General features: G+C 45.2%; 1 protein-coding gene across 18 annotated transcripts in view; it reads right to left on the bottom strand.

The window, feature by feature from the left end:
* Positions 1-17,492, bottom strand: part of DAP3 (death associated protein 3) — a 51,063-nt gene that overhangs the window by 20,926 nt on the left and 12,645 nt on the right. For 10 of the 18 annotated variants that reach the window (XM_047430081.1, XM_047430085.1, XM_047430090.1 and 7 more), the window contains 2 exons: positions 8,261-8,312; positions 957-1,079 (listed from right to left, as the gene is read on the bottom strand). In XM_047430081.1, coding sequence (XP_047286037.1) covers positions 957-1,079; positions 8,261-8,305 — 168 coding nt within the window. In that variant the 5' untranslated portion in view covers positions 8,306-8,312. Of the gene's footprint in view, positions 1-956; positions 1,080-8,260; positions 8,313-8,959; positions 9,053-17,492 lie in introns of all 18 variants that reach the window. The other 8 variants (XM_047430092.1, XM_024449700.2, XM_017002292.2 and 5 more) reach the window with 3 other exon arrangements.

The following is a 17,492-nucleotide window of genomic DNA, read 5'->3' as shown; positions in this document are numbered from 1 at the left end:
AAAACACACCCTGCTGAGATCATGTTTTGGGTAATGGGTGTTTACTTTTTCTTTCCACACAGACTATATTAAGATGGGAAGACTCAGAGGGTAGGGGCAGGGAAAGAAAGCTATTGGTTCCTAACATTACAGCACACACCACAAATTAATTTCATTTATGAGAGGCAGCAACAAAAAGAAATCAATATCCAGTCTAATGGGGAACTGGACTAGAAAATGCAACACTAGATACTGCTGGAATCCTGGCTTCTGCAGACAAAATTCACTTTAAATGCTGCTCTTCTCACAACAAACCAAGTTAGTTCCCTCTCCAGACCCTAGGAAATCCACTTACAAAACTGCAAAATAGCACCAGATTGGTTATTAGAAAAATTGGGTTCTGAACCTGCCCTGGTAGAAAATTGTGGGCAAGTAGTTTAATTTCTTTAGTACTCTCCATACCAGAGTTTGTTAAGTTATGGCTGGGCACCTGTTTTGTAAATAGAGTTTTACTGGAACATGTTCACACCCATTTGTTTATGGCAGAGTTGAGTACTTGTGACAGATCATCTCAGTCCATCGGCCTGAAATATTCACTACATGGTCCTTTAAGAAAAAGCCTGTCACCCAACACATAATATAAGCAATAATAATTGGTAAACTTGCCCAGTAAGAAATTAAACTTAGTAAGTATTGAGTATTCGACAACTCTATGCTCAGCAAAATCCGTGGAACTAGGTGAATTCACTAGTAGAGATTACATGGGAACTGATACAGACCGAGCTGGCCAGTGTATGTTACCACAGTATCAGACAGGGACAGGGAGAATCTGGGTTCCAGAGTGCTATCTCAGGTGCACTATCTGAGTAAATGCAAATCTACTAAGCTTCTTTCAGTTTCAGTTTTCCTATGCAAAATGAGGACAGGAACACAAATCATAAGCCCTGAGAAACCCCATATACATATTAGTAACTCACCGGGTCATTCTCATTGGTGCGGGAAATAGCTCTCGGACTCTCAACTGGAACCTGGTTATCTAGGTGAGCAGCAATGCTTTGGCGAGCCTGGGTCCCCATGTGTAAAAAACGCCCAGGGTCCAACTATAAGAGAAACCATTTCAGTGTTACGGGGTTATCAAACTTTTTTTTTTTTTTTTTGAGATGGAGTTTCTCTCTTGTTGCCCAAGCTGGAGTGCAATGGCGTGATCTCAGGCTCACTACAACCTCCGCCTTCCAGGTTCAAGTGATTCTCCTGCCTCAGCTTCCTGAGTAACTGGGATTACAGGCGTGCGCCACCACACCCGGCTGATTTTTTATATTTTTAGTAGAAACAAGATTTCACCATATGGGCCAGGCTGGTCTTGAACTCCTGAACTCAGGTGATCTGCCCGCCTCTGCCTCCCAAAATGCTGGGATTACAGGCTTGAGCCACCACACCTGGCTAATCAAACTTTTTATGCTTGCCAAAACACTGAGAAGGTGAGCCATGTCTGCAATAGGGATGTCACTAACATACATTTTTCTTTTTTTTTTTGAGATGGAGTCTCACTCTGTCGCCCAGGCTGGAGTGCAGTGGCGCGATCTCGGCTCACTGCAAGCTCCGCCTCCTGGGTTTACGCCATTCTCCTGCCTCAGCCTCCCGAGTAGCTGGGACTACAGGCACCCGCCACCACGCCTGGCTAATTTTTTGTATTTTTAGTAGAGGTGTATTTTTAGTAGGGGTTTCACTGTGTTAGCCAGGATGGTCTCGATCTCATGACCTCATGATCCGCCCGCCTCTGCCTCCCAAAGTGCTGGGATTACAGGCGTGAGCCACCGCGCCCGGCAACATTTTTCTTCTATGTAAAAAGGATCCCTGTTATTATTTAAAATTCACTAAGTCCAATGACATTATTCATATTCTGTATCTGTTCCAGTCTGTGTATTGCCTTATCAGGGGTCTGTCCTATACGGAAACAAACAATTCTGTCAGAGATTATTCAGGAGCATACATAGCATAGCCATTAGCAAACTTGAAGCAGGAAAGCTCTTTTAATGCGCTTGCACAGCGATGAATGGTTGTCAAAACTGTGTAATTCTCATTCTCTGTCAGTCACCTCAGTTATCAGGGGATCAGTGCAATGCTCCTCACTATGTGACAGCTATAATTACATGCCCTGTAACAATTTTCCTGCTAATTGTGCCCTGGAATAAAGGATCTTTCATTAGAGACATGTAATAAGGGAGTATGTCAAATACACAGCTAAGTGAAAGCAAACTGCTCTATAGGTAACTCAGTGAACTGTACACCGAAACCTCTGAACCAACAGGGAGGGGAAGGGGGCGGATTTCGGTAGACAAATCTAACAAAATGGTAAGTGAAAAACCCCAAAACTGAGCTTAAGGATAACAAACCTTATGTAGAAAGTGAAAAGATGTGTTATGAGGAAAAGATTAGGGAATGCAGCCAGGAGAAGCAAGAGAACAGAAATATAATGGATAGTGTAATAAGGGAGTTGCTTAATAAATAGGTTATCATATGAAAGCTACCAGTATTTTATAGTCTCACCAAGCAGCTTCTCTCTCTCTCTCTCTCTCTTTTTTTTAAGACAGGGTCTTGCTCTGTCACCCAGGCTGGAGTGCAGTGGCACGATCACGGCACACTGTAGTCTCAAACTCCCAGGCCCAAGCCATGCTCCCATCTCAGGCTCCCAAGTAGCTGGGACTACAGGTGCATGCCACTATGCCCAGCTAATTTTTTTAATTTTTTGTAGACAGGGTCTTGCTATGTTGCCCAGGCTGCTCTCCAACTTGCTGCACTCACGCGATCCTCCTGCCTCAGCCTCCCAAAGTGCTGGGATGATAGGTGTGAGCCACTGTACCTGGCTCACCAAGCAGCTTTTTGTGGGTTTTTTTTTTTTTTTTGAGATGGAGTCTTGCTCTGTTGCCCAGGCTGGGGTGCAGTGGCACAATCTTGGCTCTCTGCAACCTCCGCCTCCTGGGTTCAAGTGATTCTCCTGACACAGCCTCCTGAGCAGCTGGGATTATAGGAGTGTGCCACCATGCCCAGCTAATTTTTCTATTTTTAGTAGAGACAGGATTTTGCCATGTTGGCCAGGCTGGTCTCAAACTCCTGACCTCAGGTGGTCCTCCCACCCCAGGCTCCCAAAGTGCTGGGATTACAGGCGTGAGCCACCGTGCCCAGCCTACCAAGCAGCTTTTTGAGTGCAGAAAATATATGTTATCTCTGTACCATCCCTCCTCACACTTACACCCATTTTATGACATGATCCTAAATTATGTGTCTAACATTCCCACTACACAGGTTGAGAGACAGTATTGTACCCATCACTTTTGTTTTTCTTTTTTTTTGAGACGGAGTCTCACTCTTGTCGCCCAGGCTGGGATGCAATGGCATGATCTCAGCTCACTACAACCTCTGCCCCCAGGTTCAAGTGGTTCTCCTGCCTCAGTAGCTGGGATTACAGGCGCCCGCCATCACGCCTGACTAATTTTTGTATTTTTAGTGGAGACTGGGTTTCACCATGTTGGTCATGCTGGTCTGGAACTCCTGACCTCAGGTGATCTGCCCGCCTTAGCCTCCCAAAGTGCTGGGATTATGGGTGTGAGCCACTATGCCCAGCCAACACATAACATTTTAACTTGTATCTTTATCTCTAAATCTTTGATTTTTTCATCGTTCATAGTCCTTAACCTTCCCGAAAATAGGTTTAACCTTCGACTAATCTAAAAGCTTGGATGGAGCCAGGTGTGGTGGTCCACTCCTGTAGTCCCAGCTAGTTGGGAACTAAAGTGGAAGGACTGCTTGAGGGCAGGAGTTCCACATCAGCCAGGGAAGCACAGTGAGACCCCGACAATAAAAAAATTTTAAAAAGCTTAGAAGGTTCCAGAACGATGTCAAAATAAGTCTCAAATTCCTTAGCATAACAATCTAGACCACTGTGATGACTTCAGCCTACCTTTGTAATTTCATTTATAACCATATGACCATGCTGAAACATGTCACTTTTATGCCTCTATACTTCTGCTCATTCTACTTCAACTTCCCTCTCTCCCCATTTAAATCTTTCCCATTCATCAAGCCTCAACTCGAATGTCACATCCTCAGTGAAAATTTGCCAGACACCTCCAGTCAAAAGTAATTCTCTTTCCTTTCTGCTAATAGCACTCTTTGTATTGCACAGCAATTTTATTACACTGCCTTGAGTTGTACTCATGCCTACTGTTAACTGAGTATCTATTAGATGTTAGGCAATACAGTATTGTACATGTACTAGTTTTAAACCTAGAAATCCTAGAAGATAGGCAGAATATTATCAACCCTGTGTTATGATGGGGAAGATAAGGTTCAGGGAAGCTGAGTAATTTTGATTAAGGTCACAGAGTTTTAGGTGGTGAACTAGAATTGACATCCAAGTTTGTCTCTATTTTAAAAAAACTGTATCATGTTATCTTACACATGCTTGTCTCCTAGGCTACACGCTCGGAAGAAAAGGGGTCAGATTTTATTCATTTTCATATCTCCCTCTCTGAGTACTTAACACACTACAGGTATTTAGTTTGCCCTGGAATAAAGAATCTGAAACTGAAAACATGCAATGAGAGAGTACGTAAAGCATCCACGAAGGAAAGTAAATGCTCTATAGGAAACTTAGTGAAGTATACACAGAAACTTCTGAACCATTACTTGTAGATTTTAATATAAAGTAACTGTCAAGTACTAGAGTTGCTCCAGCTTTGTCTGAGAATGTATGACTGTAAATTACAGCTGAAGCAGCAATGCTTGGGAAATATCCAAATATCCAAATCGTTCTCTACACTTCTCAGCCTCCCTTGCAGAAACAGGAGGGGTCATGTGATTCCTTTGGCTAAAGACCTATGAATGAAAATAACTTGTGTCATTGTGTCCTTTCTAATCAGAGCCAATTAAGTGTGAGGTATAAATTATCTCTCCCTCCCCACCTTAAAAGCTATATGTTGCGATGTATCCCAAGAAGGTAAACTTTTGTCCCTCCATCCAGACTTCAGTCTTGCTTGCAAAGCCTTTTTGAAAGACAGGAACAGCAAAAACAAAGCAAAACACATACACACAACACAAACAATATCCTTTGTGTTAGGCCACTGAGAATACAAGGCTTGTTACTTCAGGGTAGCAATCTGAATAACACACCCTAGTACTACTTAAACGCTACTCAATTTTATCTACCGGAGAGAAAGCACCATGCCTCTTTAGCTGGAGAGAAAGCAGAGTGGAAAACAAACTATTCAAGGGTCACAAGGTGGTCCTATTTCTACAGTAATGTGATGACATTTTTGTTACACTTTTTTTTTTGACATAGGGTAGGGTCTTGCTATATTGCCCCGGACAGTCTCAAATTCCTGGGCCCACATGATCCTCCTGCCTCAGCCTCCCAAGTAGCTGAAACTACAGGTACTTTTTGAAGCAAATTAAAAGCTAGCAAAATGGAATCTTTTTTTTTTTTTTTTTTTTTTTGAGACGGAGTTTCACTCTTGTTGCCCAGGCTGGAGTGCAATGGTGTGATCTTGGCTCACTGCAACCTCTGTCTCCCAGGTTCAAGCGATTCTGCTGCCTCAGCCTCCCGAGTAGCTGGGATTACAGGCATGCGCCACCGCGCCTGGCTAATTTTGTATTTTTAGTAGTGACGGAGTTTCTCCATGTTGGTCTGGCTGGTCTCGAACTCCCGACCTCAGGTGATCTGCCTGCCTTGGCCTCCCAAAGTGCTGGGATTACAGGTGTAAGCCACCATGCCTGGCCTACAGCAAAATGGAATCTTTAGTTCTTAAAGTTTTATATATGTTATCACTCAAGTAGACTGTTGTTTCCAGAGAAAACAACCATCTGTACAATTGCCTCTGTACAGTTCCAGAATGAACATCCTGCAGTTTCTGAAAGAGCATTTGTGAGCCAATCTAGAAGATCACCGTGATGGTTAATATTAAGCGTCAACTTGATTGGATTAAAGGCTGTAAAGTATTGTTCCTGGGTGTGTCTGTGAGGGTGTTGCCAAAGGAGATTAACATTTGAGTCAGTGGACTGGGAGACGCAGACCCACCCTCAGTGTGGGTGGACACCATCTAATCACCTGCCAGGGCAGCTAGAATAAAGCAGGCAGAAGAAGGTAGGATGAGCCGACTTGCTGGGTCTTCCAGCCTTCATCTTTCTCCTGAGCTAGATGCTTCCCGCCCTCGAACACTGGACTCCAAGTTCTTCAGCTTTTGGACCCTTGGACTTACAACAGTGATTTGCCAGGGGCTCTCAGGCCTTTAGCCACAGACTGAAGACTGCACTGTCAGCTTCCCTACTTTTGAAGTTTTGGGACTTGGACTGGCTTACTTGCTCCTCAGCTTGCTCACGGCCTACTGTGGGACTTCGCCAGATGGTGTGACTCAATACTCCTTAACAAACTCTCCTTCATATATACTTCTATCCTATTAGTGCTGTCCCTGTAGAGAACCCTGACTAATACAGTCACCCTGAACCAAACTAGTAAAAAAAAAAAAACAAAACTTTCTCTCACCAACAGCACTCTACAGTCTAGCCTCAGGTCTTTGTTGTCTGTTATTAAGAAAGAGGAAATTTTTTTTTTTCTTTTGAGATGGAGTCTCGCTCTATTGCCCAGGCTAGAGTGCAGTGGCGTGATCTTGGCTCACTGCAACCTCTACCTCTTGGGTTCAAGCGATTCTCTTACCTCAGCCTCCCAAGTAGCTGGGATTACAGGCGTGTGCCACCACACGCAGCTAATTTTTGTATTTTTAGTAGAGACGGGGTTTCACTATGTTGGCCAGGCTGGTCTCAAACTGCTGACCTCAGGTGATCTGCCTGCCTCGGCCTCCCAAAGTGCTGGGATTACAGGCATGAGCTACTGTGCCCGGCCGAGAGAGGAAATTTATTTTAGCCTTGTAATATGATCAGTTGAGTCCAGAATCCATCCCTCTGCTGATCCTTGCTTTCGTTTCATTTTATAATAATGGGTTATTTTATGTATTAATATATAGGCCTGAGGGAAGGGGGCACATGCAGGGGGAGCCATATAGGAGGAAGGGCTCCTTTTCTAGGAAATCTAATCTGTAATTAAATAATCAGCTGAAAATGACCAAGTCTTTCTGGCTCAGTTCTGAGCCTTTCAGGATCTCCTGCTGACTCGACTAATCCCGCTCAGGTGCTCCTCTTTGGTGCTGTAAGAGCACCATACTGAAATAGTCATTTTTTCATGATTCTACTGGACTGTAAGCTTCTGGAGAACATGGACCATAAAATGCAATAGAGCACAGTGGTTAGGCCACAGGCTTTGAAGTCAGACAGACCTGGCATCTCGTGTGGGCTTTGCAACCTCACAGGCTATTTCCTCAGGTAAGTTACCTAGCCAGTCTCATCTTTAGTTTCTCCATCTGTGAAACAAGGATATTATCTCGTTCATGGGTTGATCATGAGGATTAAAAAAATAAATCACTTAGTGTAGTACCTGGCACATAATAATACCCAACAAATAATAACTATTATTAGTGAAATGAGGCATCTTAGAATTCTGAGTACCTGCCATATAGAAGGTACTGAAGGCCGGGCACAGTGGCTCACGCCTGTAATCCCAGCACTTTGGGAGGCCTAGGTGGGCAGATCACGAAGTCAGGAGTTCGAGACCAGCCTAGCTAATATGATGAAACACCGTTTCTACTAAAAATACAAAAATTAGCCGGGCATGGTGGCAAGCGCCTGTAGTCCCAGCTATTCGGGAGGCTGAGGCAGAAGAATAGCTTGAACCCAGGAGGCAGAGGTTGCAGTGAGCCGAGATTGCGCCACTGCACACTCCAGCCTGGGCAACAGAGCGAGACTCTGTCTCAAAAAAAAAAAAAAAAAAGTACTGAAAAACTATTTGGTAAATATGTGAAAAAATGAAGTAAACCAGCAGAATGGTCTTTTTCATGTACAATTTTATTTTTTATTCTATTTTAGATGCTAAAGCTGTAAATTGGCAACTTGTTTTTCTTTTAAATACTTCATTAAGGGATGATAACCATTCTCTAGTTGGCTAGAGAAATAAAGTTAATAAAGATAATTACAGTCAAACTTACTTATGTTTTCTGGAAAAATATTAATTCTCCTATTCCATGGTAAATTCTCAAGCACAATTATTCTACTGAAACCTGTTACATATGAAGTTTTCCAGAGCATTTCACTCTAGATACAATGAATCCATCTGAAAACAAGAATCTGGGAACCTAAAGGCAGTATGCACAGAGTGTTCAGGTCAGTCAGGACTCACCTTATGGATCCTAGAGATAAGCCTTGTTATTCCTTTCAGCATCATCCTTGCACTGTTACAAAAAAAAAAAAAGTGAAAAGGTAAACCACAAATGGGAAAAGATGTGTGCAACATGGAAAACTGACAATAGATTAATAGGGATTAATAATCTATATTAATATCTAGAATATATAAAGAATGCCTACAGCTTCATTAAAAAAATGAGCAAAAGGCATGAACAGGCATTTCACAGAAAACGAAACACAAAAGGCTAGTGAACCCATGAAAAGATTTTTGAACCTCATTACAAATCAGGGAAATGCTAATTAAAATGATGAAAACCAGATACCATTCACAATCATCATACTGGGAAAATAAAAAAGTCAGGCGGGACACAGTGGCTCACATGTACAATCCCCACACTTTGGGAGGAACACTTCTCGGGGCTGAGGTGGGTGGATTGCTTGAGCCCAGGAGTTCAAGACTGGCCTCAGCAACAAAGTGAGACCCTGTCTTTACAAAAAATATAAAAATTAGCAGGGCATGGTAGTGCATGCCTGTAGTCCCAGCTCCTCGGAAGGCCGAGGCAGGAGGATCACTTGAGCTTGGGAGGAGGTGGAGGTCACAGTGAGCTGAGATGCACTACATTCCAGCATGGATGACAGAGTGAGACCACCTCAAAAAAAAAAAAGAAAATAGGCCAGGTGTAATGGCTCATACCTGTAATCCCAGCACTTTGGGAGGTCAAGGTGGGCAGATCACTTGAGGTCAGGAATTCGAGACCAGCCTGGCCAACATGGTAAAACTTCATCTCTACCAAAAAATATTTTAAAAAATTAGTCGGAGGCCACGCGCAGTGGCTCACGCCTGTAATCCCAGCACTTTGGGAGGCCGAGGCGGGCAGATCACGAGGTCAGATCGAGACGGTCCTGGCTAACACGGTGAAAACCCGTCTCTACTAAAAATGCAAAAAAATAGCTAGGTGTGGTGGTGGGCGCCTGTAGTCCCAGCTACTTGGGAGGCTGAGGCAGGAGAATGGCATGAAACTGGGAGGCGGAGCTTACAGTGAGCTGAGATCATGCCACTGCACTCCAGCCTGGGCGACAGAGCAAGACTGTGTCTCAAAAAAAAAAAAAAAAAAAAATTAGTCAGGAGTGGTGATATGCACCTGTAGTCCCAGCTACTCTGGAGGCTAAGGCAGGAGGATTGCTTGCATCCAGAGGTTGCAGTGAGCTGATATCACACCACTGTACGCTAGCCCAGGTGACAGAGTGAGACTCTGTCTCAAAAAAAAAAAAAAAAAAACAAAAACAGAAAAAGAAAATTAAAAAGTCAGACAATAGCAAATGTTAAATAGGCTGCGAAACATTACATTGTATTCAACTTTCATACATGTCAATGAAAGTATAAATACACTATCTTTGCAAAGTTGAAAATGCACAAAACAAAGTTGAAAATACACTATCTTTGCAAAGTTGAAAATGTACAAACAAAAAGTTGAAAGTGTGGTGGCTCAAGCCTGTAATCCCAGTACTTTGGGAGGCCAAGGCAGGTGGATCACCTGAGGTCAGGAGTTCAAGAGCAGCCTGGCCAACATGGTGAAACCCAATCTCTACTAAAAATACAAAAAATTAGCTGGGCGTGGTGGTACACACCGGTAATCCCAGCTACTCGGGAGGCAGAGGCAGGAGGATTCCTTGAACCTGGGAGGCAGAGGTTGCAGTGAGCCGAGATCGTGCCATTGCATTCCAGACTGGGCAACAAGAGTGAAACTCTGTCTCAAAACAAAAACCAAAACCAAAACTTCTACATGTACACTGGGAAATATATATAAGGAGGTTCATACTAGCAGAGTATGAATTATAAAAAAACTGTAGAAAAAACTAATGTCCCTTAGTAGAACAGTAGATAGAGACAGTCATAAAATGGAATATTAGAAAGCAATTAAATGAAAAAATTACCATTGCATGCATCAACATGGATCTCAAAAATGAATACTGAGTGAACGCTATTACATCTGGCATGACATAACATATAAAATTCAAAACCAAAAAGCTTCATTAATTATTTGGGGGATATAAATAGGAAAACTGAAACAAAAAAGCAAGAGAATGATAAAAACAACATTTAGAATAATGGTTACTCCTGGGGAGAAGAAAAGGGAAGAAGATTGGGGCAGGGCACACAAGGAAACTGATAATAAACTAACACTGGATAATGGATACATGAGAATTTATTATTTTCATATCATGTGTATTATATTCATTTTTTTGTATACAGGAAATATCTAATTTAAAAGCCCGAATCTTTTGGAGCTAAGAGGTTTAAAATACTTAAATGTAACTCTCAATATCCAGTAGTTATGGAATAACTGAATTAAATGTCTATGTAATTAATTAGTTCATTTTGGCTATAAATTTTTTTTTTTTTTTTGAGACGGAGTCTTGCTCTGTCACCCAGGCTGGAGTGCAGTGGCGCGATCTTGGCTCACTGCAAGCTCCGCCTCCCGGGTTCACGCCATTCTCCTGCCTCAGCCTCCCGAGTAGCTGGGACTACAGGCGCCCACCACCACGCCCCGCTAATTTTTTGTATTTTTAGTAATGACGGGGTTTCACCATGTTAGCCAGGATGGTCTCGATCTCCTGACCTTGTGATCCTCCCGCCTCAGCCTCCCAAAGTGCTGGGATTACAGGCGTGAGCCACCGCGCCTGGCCTATTATAAATTTTTTTTGTTTGTTTTGTTTTGGTTTTTTTGAGATGGAGTTTCGCTCTTGTTGCCCAGGCTGGAGTGCAATGGCATGATCCCGGCTCACTGCAACCTCCACCTCCCGGGTTAAAGCGATTCTCCTCTCAGCCTCCTGAGTAACTGAAGTTAGAGATGCCAGCTACCACGCCCAGCTAATTTTTGTATTTTTAGTAGAGACAGGGTTTCACCATGTTGGCCAGGCTGGTCTCGAACTCCTGACCTCAGGTGATCCACCTGCCTAGGCCTCTCAAAGCGCTGGGATTACAGGTGTGAATTACCACACCCGGCCCCCTTGGCTATCATTTTCACCTTTCTTTATTTTATTTTATTTATTTATTTATTTATTTATTTTGCGATGAAGTCTTGCTCTGTCACCCAAGCTGGAGTTCACTGGAACCTTGCCTCCCCGGGCTCAAGCGATTCTCCTGCCTCAGCTGCCTAAATAGCTGGGACTACAGGCATACACCACCATGTCCAGCTAATTTTTGTACTTGTAGTAGAAACGGGGTTTCACCATGTTGGCCAGGCTGGTCTTGAACTCCTGACCTCAGGTGATCCTCCCACCTCAGCCTCCCAAAGGGATTACAGGCGTGAGCCACCGCACCCAGACACACCTTTCACAACCCAAATCTTTAAAGCAACAATAATAACAACCATAGAGTTGCAACCAATTAACCCAACAGTTACTGAGCACCTACTGTGTGTCAGGCTCTGTGAATGGAATGGTGAACAAACTATTATAGTCCCTGATCTTATAGTCAAGGAATTTATAGTACAGTCAAGAGAATCACATAGGCTGGGCATGGTGACTCATGCCTGTAATATCGGCCCTTTGGGAGGCGGGGATGAGAAGACTGCTTGAGCCCAGGAGTTTGAGACCAGCTTGGGTACATAGTAAGACCGCCAATTCCACAAACAAAAGAAAAAAATTAATTAGTTTGCCAGGGTGGTGCAGGACTGTAGTCGTAGCTACTTAGGAGGCTGAGGCAAAAGGCTCACTTGAGGCCAGGTGTTAAAGAGCTATGATCATGCCACTGTACTCCAGCCTGCATGATACACTCAGATCTGGTCTAAATAAATAGATAAATAAATGAAAAGAGGCCAGGTGCAGTGGTTCATACCTGTGATCCTAGTATTTTGGGAGGCCGAGATGGATGGACTGCCTGAGCTCAGGAGTTCAAGACCAGCCTGGACAATATGGTGAAACCCTATCTCTACTAAAATATAAAAAATAAGCCTGGCATGGTGGTGCATGTCTGTTTTCCCAGCTACTCAGGAGGCTGAGGCGGGAGAATCGCTTGAACCCAGGAGGCAGAGGTTGCAGTGAGCTGAGATTGCGCCATTGCATGCCAGCCTGGGTGACAGAGCAAGACTCCATCTCAAAAAATAAATAAATAAATAAATAATATTTAAAAATAAATAAAAAGAGAGAGAGAATAACATAAATTCCTTTCATTTTATTTCCTTTCTGTTTTTTTTTTCTTTCTTTTTTTTTTTGAGACAGGGTCTCGCTCCATTGCCCAGGATGGGGTGCAATGGCAAGATCACAGCACACTGTAGCCTCAAACTCTTGGGTTCAAGTGATCCGCCTGCCTCAGCCTTTCAAGTAGCTGGGAATATAGGTGCCATTGCCTGGCATATTAAAAAAAAAATTTTTTTTTTTTTGGGTAGACATAACCCTTGCTATGGTGCCCAGGATGGTCTTGAACTCCTGGGCTCAAGTGATCCTCCTGCCTCAGCCTCCCAAAGTGCTGGGATTACAGGTGTGAGCCACCATGCTCTGCTTCAACTTTATCACATTTGTTATTTTTCTTGAGACAGGGTCTTGCTCTGTCATCCAAGCTGGAATACAGTGGCACAATCACAGCTCACTGCAGCCTCGAACTCCCCTGCTTAAGTGATCTTCCCACCTCAGCCTCCCAAGTAGCTGGAATTACAGGCACGTGCCACTGTGCCTGGCTTTTTTATTTTGTAGAGACAGAGTCTCATTATGTTGCCAGCGATGGTCTTGAACTCCTGGACTCAAGTGATCCTCCCACCTCAGCCTCTCGAAGTGCTGGGATTACAGGTATGAGCCATCGCACTTGGCCTTAAATATACTGGATTCGTTTGTTTATTTCTGAGATGGAATATTGCTCTGTCGCCCAGGCTGGAGTGCAGTGGCATGATCTCGGCTCACTGCAACATCCACTTCCCGAGTTCAAACAGTTCTCCTGCCTCAGCCTCCCAAGTACCTGGGACTACAGGCGCCCGCCACCACGCCAGCTTATTTTTGTATTTTTAGTAGATACAGGGTTTCGCCATGTTGGCTAGGCTGTTCTCAAAATTTTGACCTTAAGTGATCCTCCCGCCTCAGCCCCCCAAAGTATTGGGATTACAAGCATAAGCCACCTGCCCAGCCATACTATTTAATGAAGACGCCAAAGCACTCCTAAACTCAGTCATTCAAGAAGCATATGACATGCTTCCACACGCCCACACTACACAGAGTCTATAGTGGTGAATAAGACTGGGATGGTCTCTACTGGCCTGCCTGCCTTTTCACTTGTGGGATTTCAGGGCTCCTTTTCTAGAGTGCAATGTCACTCCAATAGTATTTGACCTGCCCCACTGTGCTCCCCAGATCTTCTCAATGCTCCCCGGCACAACCACTACTGGAAGAGCTGTGGACTAGGAAGCAGGCTGGGTACTGGAGAGGAAGGAGTGTGTGACATGGTCCAGATGCACTTCTTTCCATAGGCGTGCCTGTGGACACTGGAGCTATTATTTTGCCTATGTTATAGACACTATGAGAAATGACGGTCAGAACGTGTAATCAGCTTCCGTTCTAGGACACTATCATCTTGAACCCAAATTAAAATAAATGATCTACCAGCATCCAGACTTAAACATTTTCTCCACTGAAGCCTTGCTTAAAATTCTTCAGTATTTCCTCACTACTTGATTATTTTGTGAGATCGGGTCTCAGTCTGTTGCCCAGGCTGGAGTGCAGTGGCACAATCTAGGCTCACTGCAGCCCCTAACTCCTAGGATCAAGTAATCCTCCTTTCTCAGCCTCCTAAGTAACTGGGACTACAGGCATGTGCAACCACCTGGTGGCTAATTTTTTATTTTTACAGAGATGGGGTCTGGCTATGTTGCCTGGGCTGATCTCTAACTCCTGGCCTCAAGTAATCTTCCTGCCCTAGCCTCGCAAAGTGCTGAGATTGCAGGCGCGAGCCACTATGCCTGGCCCTCACTAGTTTTCAAGTTAAAAAAGTCTAGGTCAGGCGCAGTGGCTCACACCTGTAATCCCAGCACTCTGGGATGCCAACGTGGGTGGATCACGAGGTCAGAAGATCGAGACCATCCTGGCTAACACGGTGAAACCCCATCTCTACTAAAAATACAAAAAATTAGCTGGGTGTGGTGGCGGGCGCCTGTAGTCCCAGATACTCAGGAGGCTGAGGCAGGAGAATTGCTTGAGCCCGGGAGGCAGAGGTTGCCGTGAGCCAAGTTCATGCCACTGCACTCCAGTCTGGGCGACAGAGCAAGACCCTGTCTTAAGAAAAAACTTGTCAAGCTGATTTGGTTTGGCTGTGTCCTCACCCAAATCTCATCTTGAATTTCAGCTCCCATAATTCCCATGTGTTGTAGGAGGGACCCCATGGTAGATAATTGAATCATGGGGGCGGTTTCCCCATACCGTTCATGTGACAGTGAATACATCTCACAAGATCTAATAATTTAATAAGGTGTTTCCCCTTTCACTTGGCTCTCATGCTCTCTTGCCTGCCACCATGTAAGATATGACTTGCTCCTTGTTGCCTTCTGCCATGATTGTAAGACCTCCGTAGCCACGTGGAATTGTGAGTCCATTAAACCTCTTTTTCTTAATAAATTACGCAGTCTTGGGTGTGTCTTTATCAGCAGCGTGAAAATGGACTAATATACAGGCTAATCTCAAAATTCATTTGGAAATGCAACAGACCTAGAATAGCCCAAGTATTCTTGAAAAGGAACAAATTTGGAGGCCTCATATGTCCTGATTCCAACACTTACTACAAAACTACAGTAATCAAGATAGTGTGGTATTGGCATACATTTACATCACGGTCAACTGATTTTTCTTTTTCTTTTTCTTTTTTTCTTGAAACGGAGTCTCACTCTGTCACCCAGGCTGGAATGCAGTGGCACCATCTCAGCTCACTGCAACCTCTGCCTCCCAGGTTCAAGCAATTCTCTGCCTCAGCCTCCTGAGTAGCTGGGATTACAGGTGCCCACCACCACGCCTGGCTAATTTTTTGTATTTTTAGTAAAGACGGAGTTTCGCCATCTTGGCCAGGCTGGTCTTCACCTCCTGACCTCATGATCCACCAGCCTCAGCCTCCCAAAATGCTGGGATTACAGGCGTGAGCCATCGTGCCCGGCCTGGTCAACTGATTTTCAACATGGATGCCAAGACAATTCAATGAGGAAAGAATAGTGTCTTCAACAAATGCTGTTGGGACAACCTGAAATTCACCCACAAAAGAATGAAAATGGACCCCTACCTCATATCATACTCAAAATAGATCATAGACGTACTCATAAGAGCTCCAAGAATAAAACTTGCAGGGGCAAGTTTTCTAATTTTCTTTGAGCCAGAGTCTCGCTCTGTCCCCCAAGCTGGAGTGCACTGGTGTGATCTCAGCTCATTGGCTCACGGCAACCTCTGCCTCCCGGGTTCACGCCACTCTCCTGCCTCAGCCTCCCGAGTAGCTGGGACTACAGGCACCCGCCACCATGCCCAGCTAATTTTTTTGTATTTTTTTTAGTAGAGACGGGGTTTCCCTGTGTTAGCCAGGATGATCTCGATCTCCTGACCTCATGATCCACCTGCCTCGGCCTCCCAAAGTGCTGGGATTACAGGTGTGAGCCACGGGGCCTGGCCCAAGTTTTCTAATTTTCTTTTTTTTTTTTTTTTTTTATAGGCAGAATCAATTTTTTTAATTTTTAATTTTTTTTTTTTTACAGGCATGATCAACCAGGTACAGAATCAGTTTTTTGGCTGTAGATGATTTAAGAGTTAGGGTCAACTTGTCTTTGGTGAGATGTGCTCCTCTATCTTCTTCTGGAATTAAGCAGTTCTTTGGGTTGATGAGTAGGAAAGCAGTTTTGCTGTCAGCTACTTCCCTCCATGAGTTCTGAGACTTCCTGTTTAAAAGCACTACGAAACCTGCTGACCCCACTTATTTCCCGATTTAATTATTCTTTTTGAAAGTTGGCTCTAACCTTAAGGGTTGTGAAAACACAAGGATCCAGTGTGGTTGAAGCTTTAGAACTAAGAAAACCATTCCTTTTTCTATCAAACAGCCTGGCAGGGGAACAGTTTTGCCCCTTGCCCTGAGCCCTGTCATTTGTTTTGATCATTTTCTTTTTTTTTTTTTTTTAATTTATTTTTTTATTGATAATTCTTGGGTGTTTCTCACAGAGGGGGATTTGGCAGGGTCATGGGACAATAGTGGAGGGAAGGTCAGCAGATAAACAAGTGAACAAAGGTCTCTGGTTTTCCTAGGCAGAGGACCCTGCGGCCTTCCGCAGTGTTTGTGTCCCTGATTACTTGAGATTAGGGATTGGTGATGACTCTTAACGAGCATGCTGCCTTCAAGCATCTGTTTAACAAAGCACATCTTGCACCGCCCTTAATCCATTTAACCCTGAGTGGACACAGCACATGTTTCAGAGAGCACAGGGTTGAGGGTAAGGTCACAGATCAACAGGATCCCAAGGCAGAGGAATTTTTCTTAGTGCAGAACAAAATGAAAAGTCTCCCATGTCTACTTCTTTCTACACAGACACGGCAACCATCCGATTTCTCAATCTTTTCCCCACCTTTCCCGCCTTTCTATTCCACAAAGCCGCCATTGTCATCCTGGCCCGTTCTCAATGAGCTGTTGGGCACACCTCCCAGACGGGGTGGTGGCCGGGCAGAGGGGCTACTCACTTCCCAGTAGGGGCGGCCGGGCAGAGGCGCCCCTCACCTCCCGGACGGGGCGGCTGGCCAGGCAGGGGGGCTGACCCCCCCCCACCTCCCTCCCGGAGGGGGCGGCTGGCCGGGCGGGGGGCTGACCCCCCCACCTCCCTCCCGGACGGGGCGGCTGGCCGGGCAGAGGGGCTCCTCACTTCCCAGTAGGGGCGGCCGGGCAGAGGCGCCCCTCACCTCCCGGACGGGACGGGGCGGCTGGCCGGGCGGAGGGCTGACCCCCCCACCTCCCTCCCGGACAGGGCGGCTGGCCGGGCAGAGGGGCTCCTCACTTCCCAGTAGGGGCGGCCGGGCAGAGGCACCCCTCACCTCCCAGACGGCGCGGCTGGCTGGGCGGAGGGCTGACCCCCCCACCTCCCTCCCGGACGGGGCGGCTGGCCGGGTTGGGGGGCTGACCCCCCCATCTCCCTCCCGGACGGGGTGGCTGGCCGGGCTGAGGGGCTCCTCACTTCCCAGTAGGGGCGGCCGGGCCGAGGCGCCCCTCACCTCCCGGACGGGGCGGC

The sequence above is a fragment of the Homo sapiens genome, chromosome 1 (genome assembly GCF_000001405.40).
Source record: "Homo sapiens chromosome 1, GRCh38.p14 Primary Assembly".
Taxonomy (NCBI): domain Eukaryota; kingdom Metazoa; phylum Chordata; class Mammalia; order Primates; family Hominidae; genus Homo; species Homo sapiens.
This window is presented reverse-complemented; position numbering and strand designations above follow the sequence as displayed.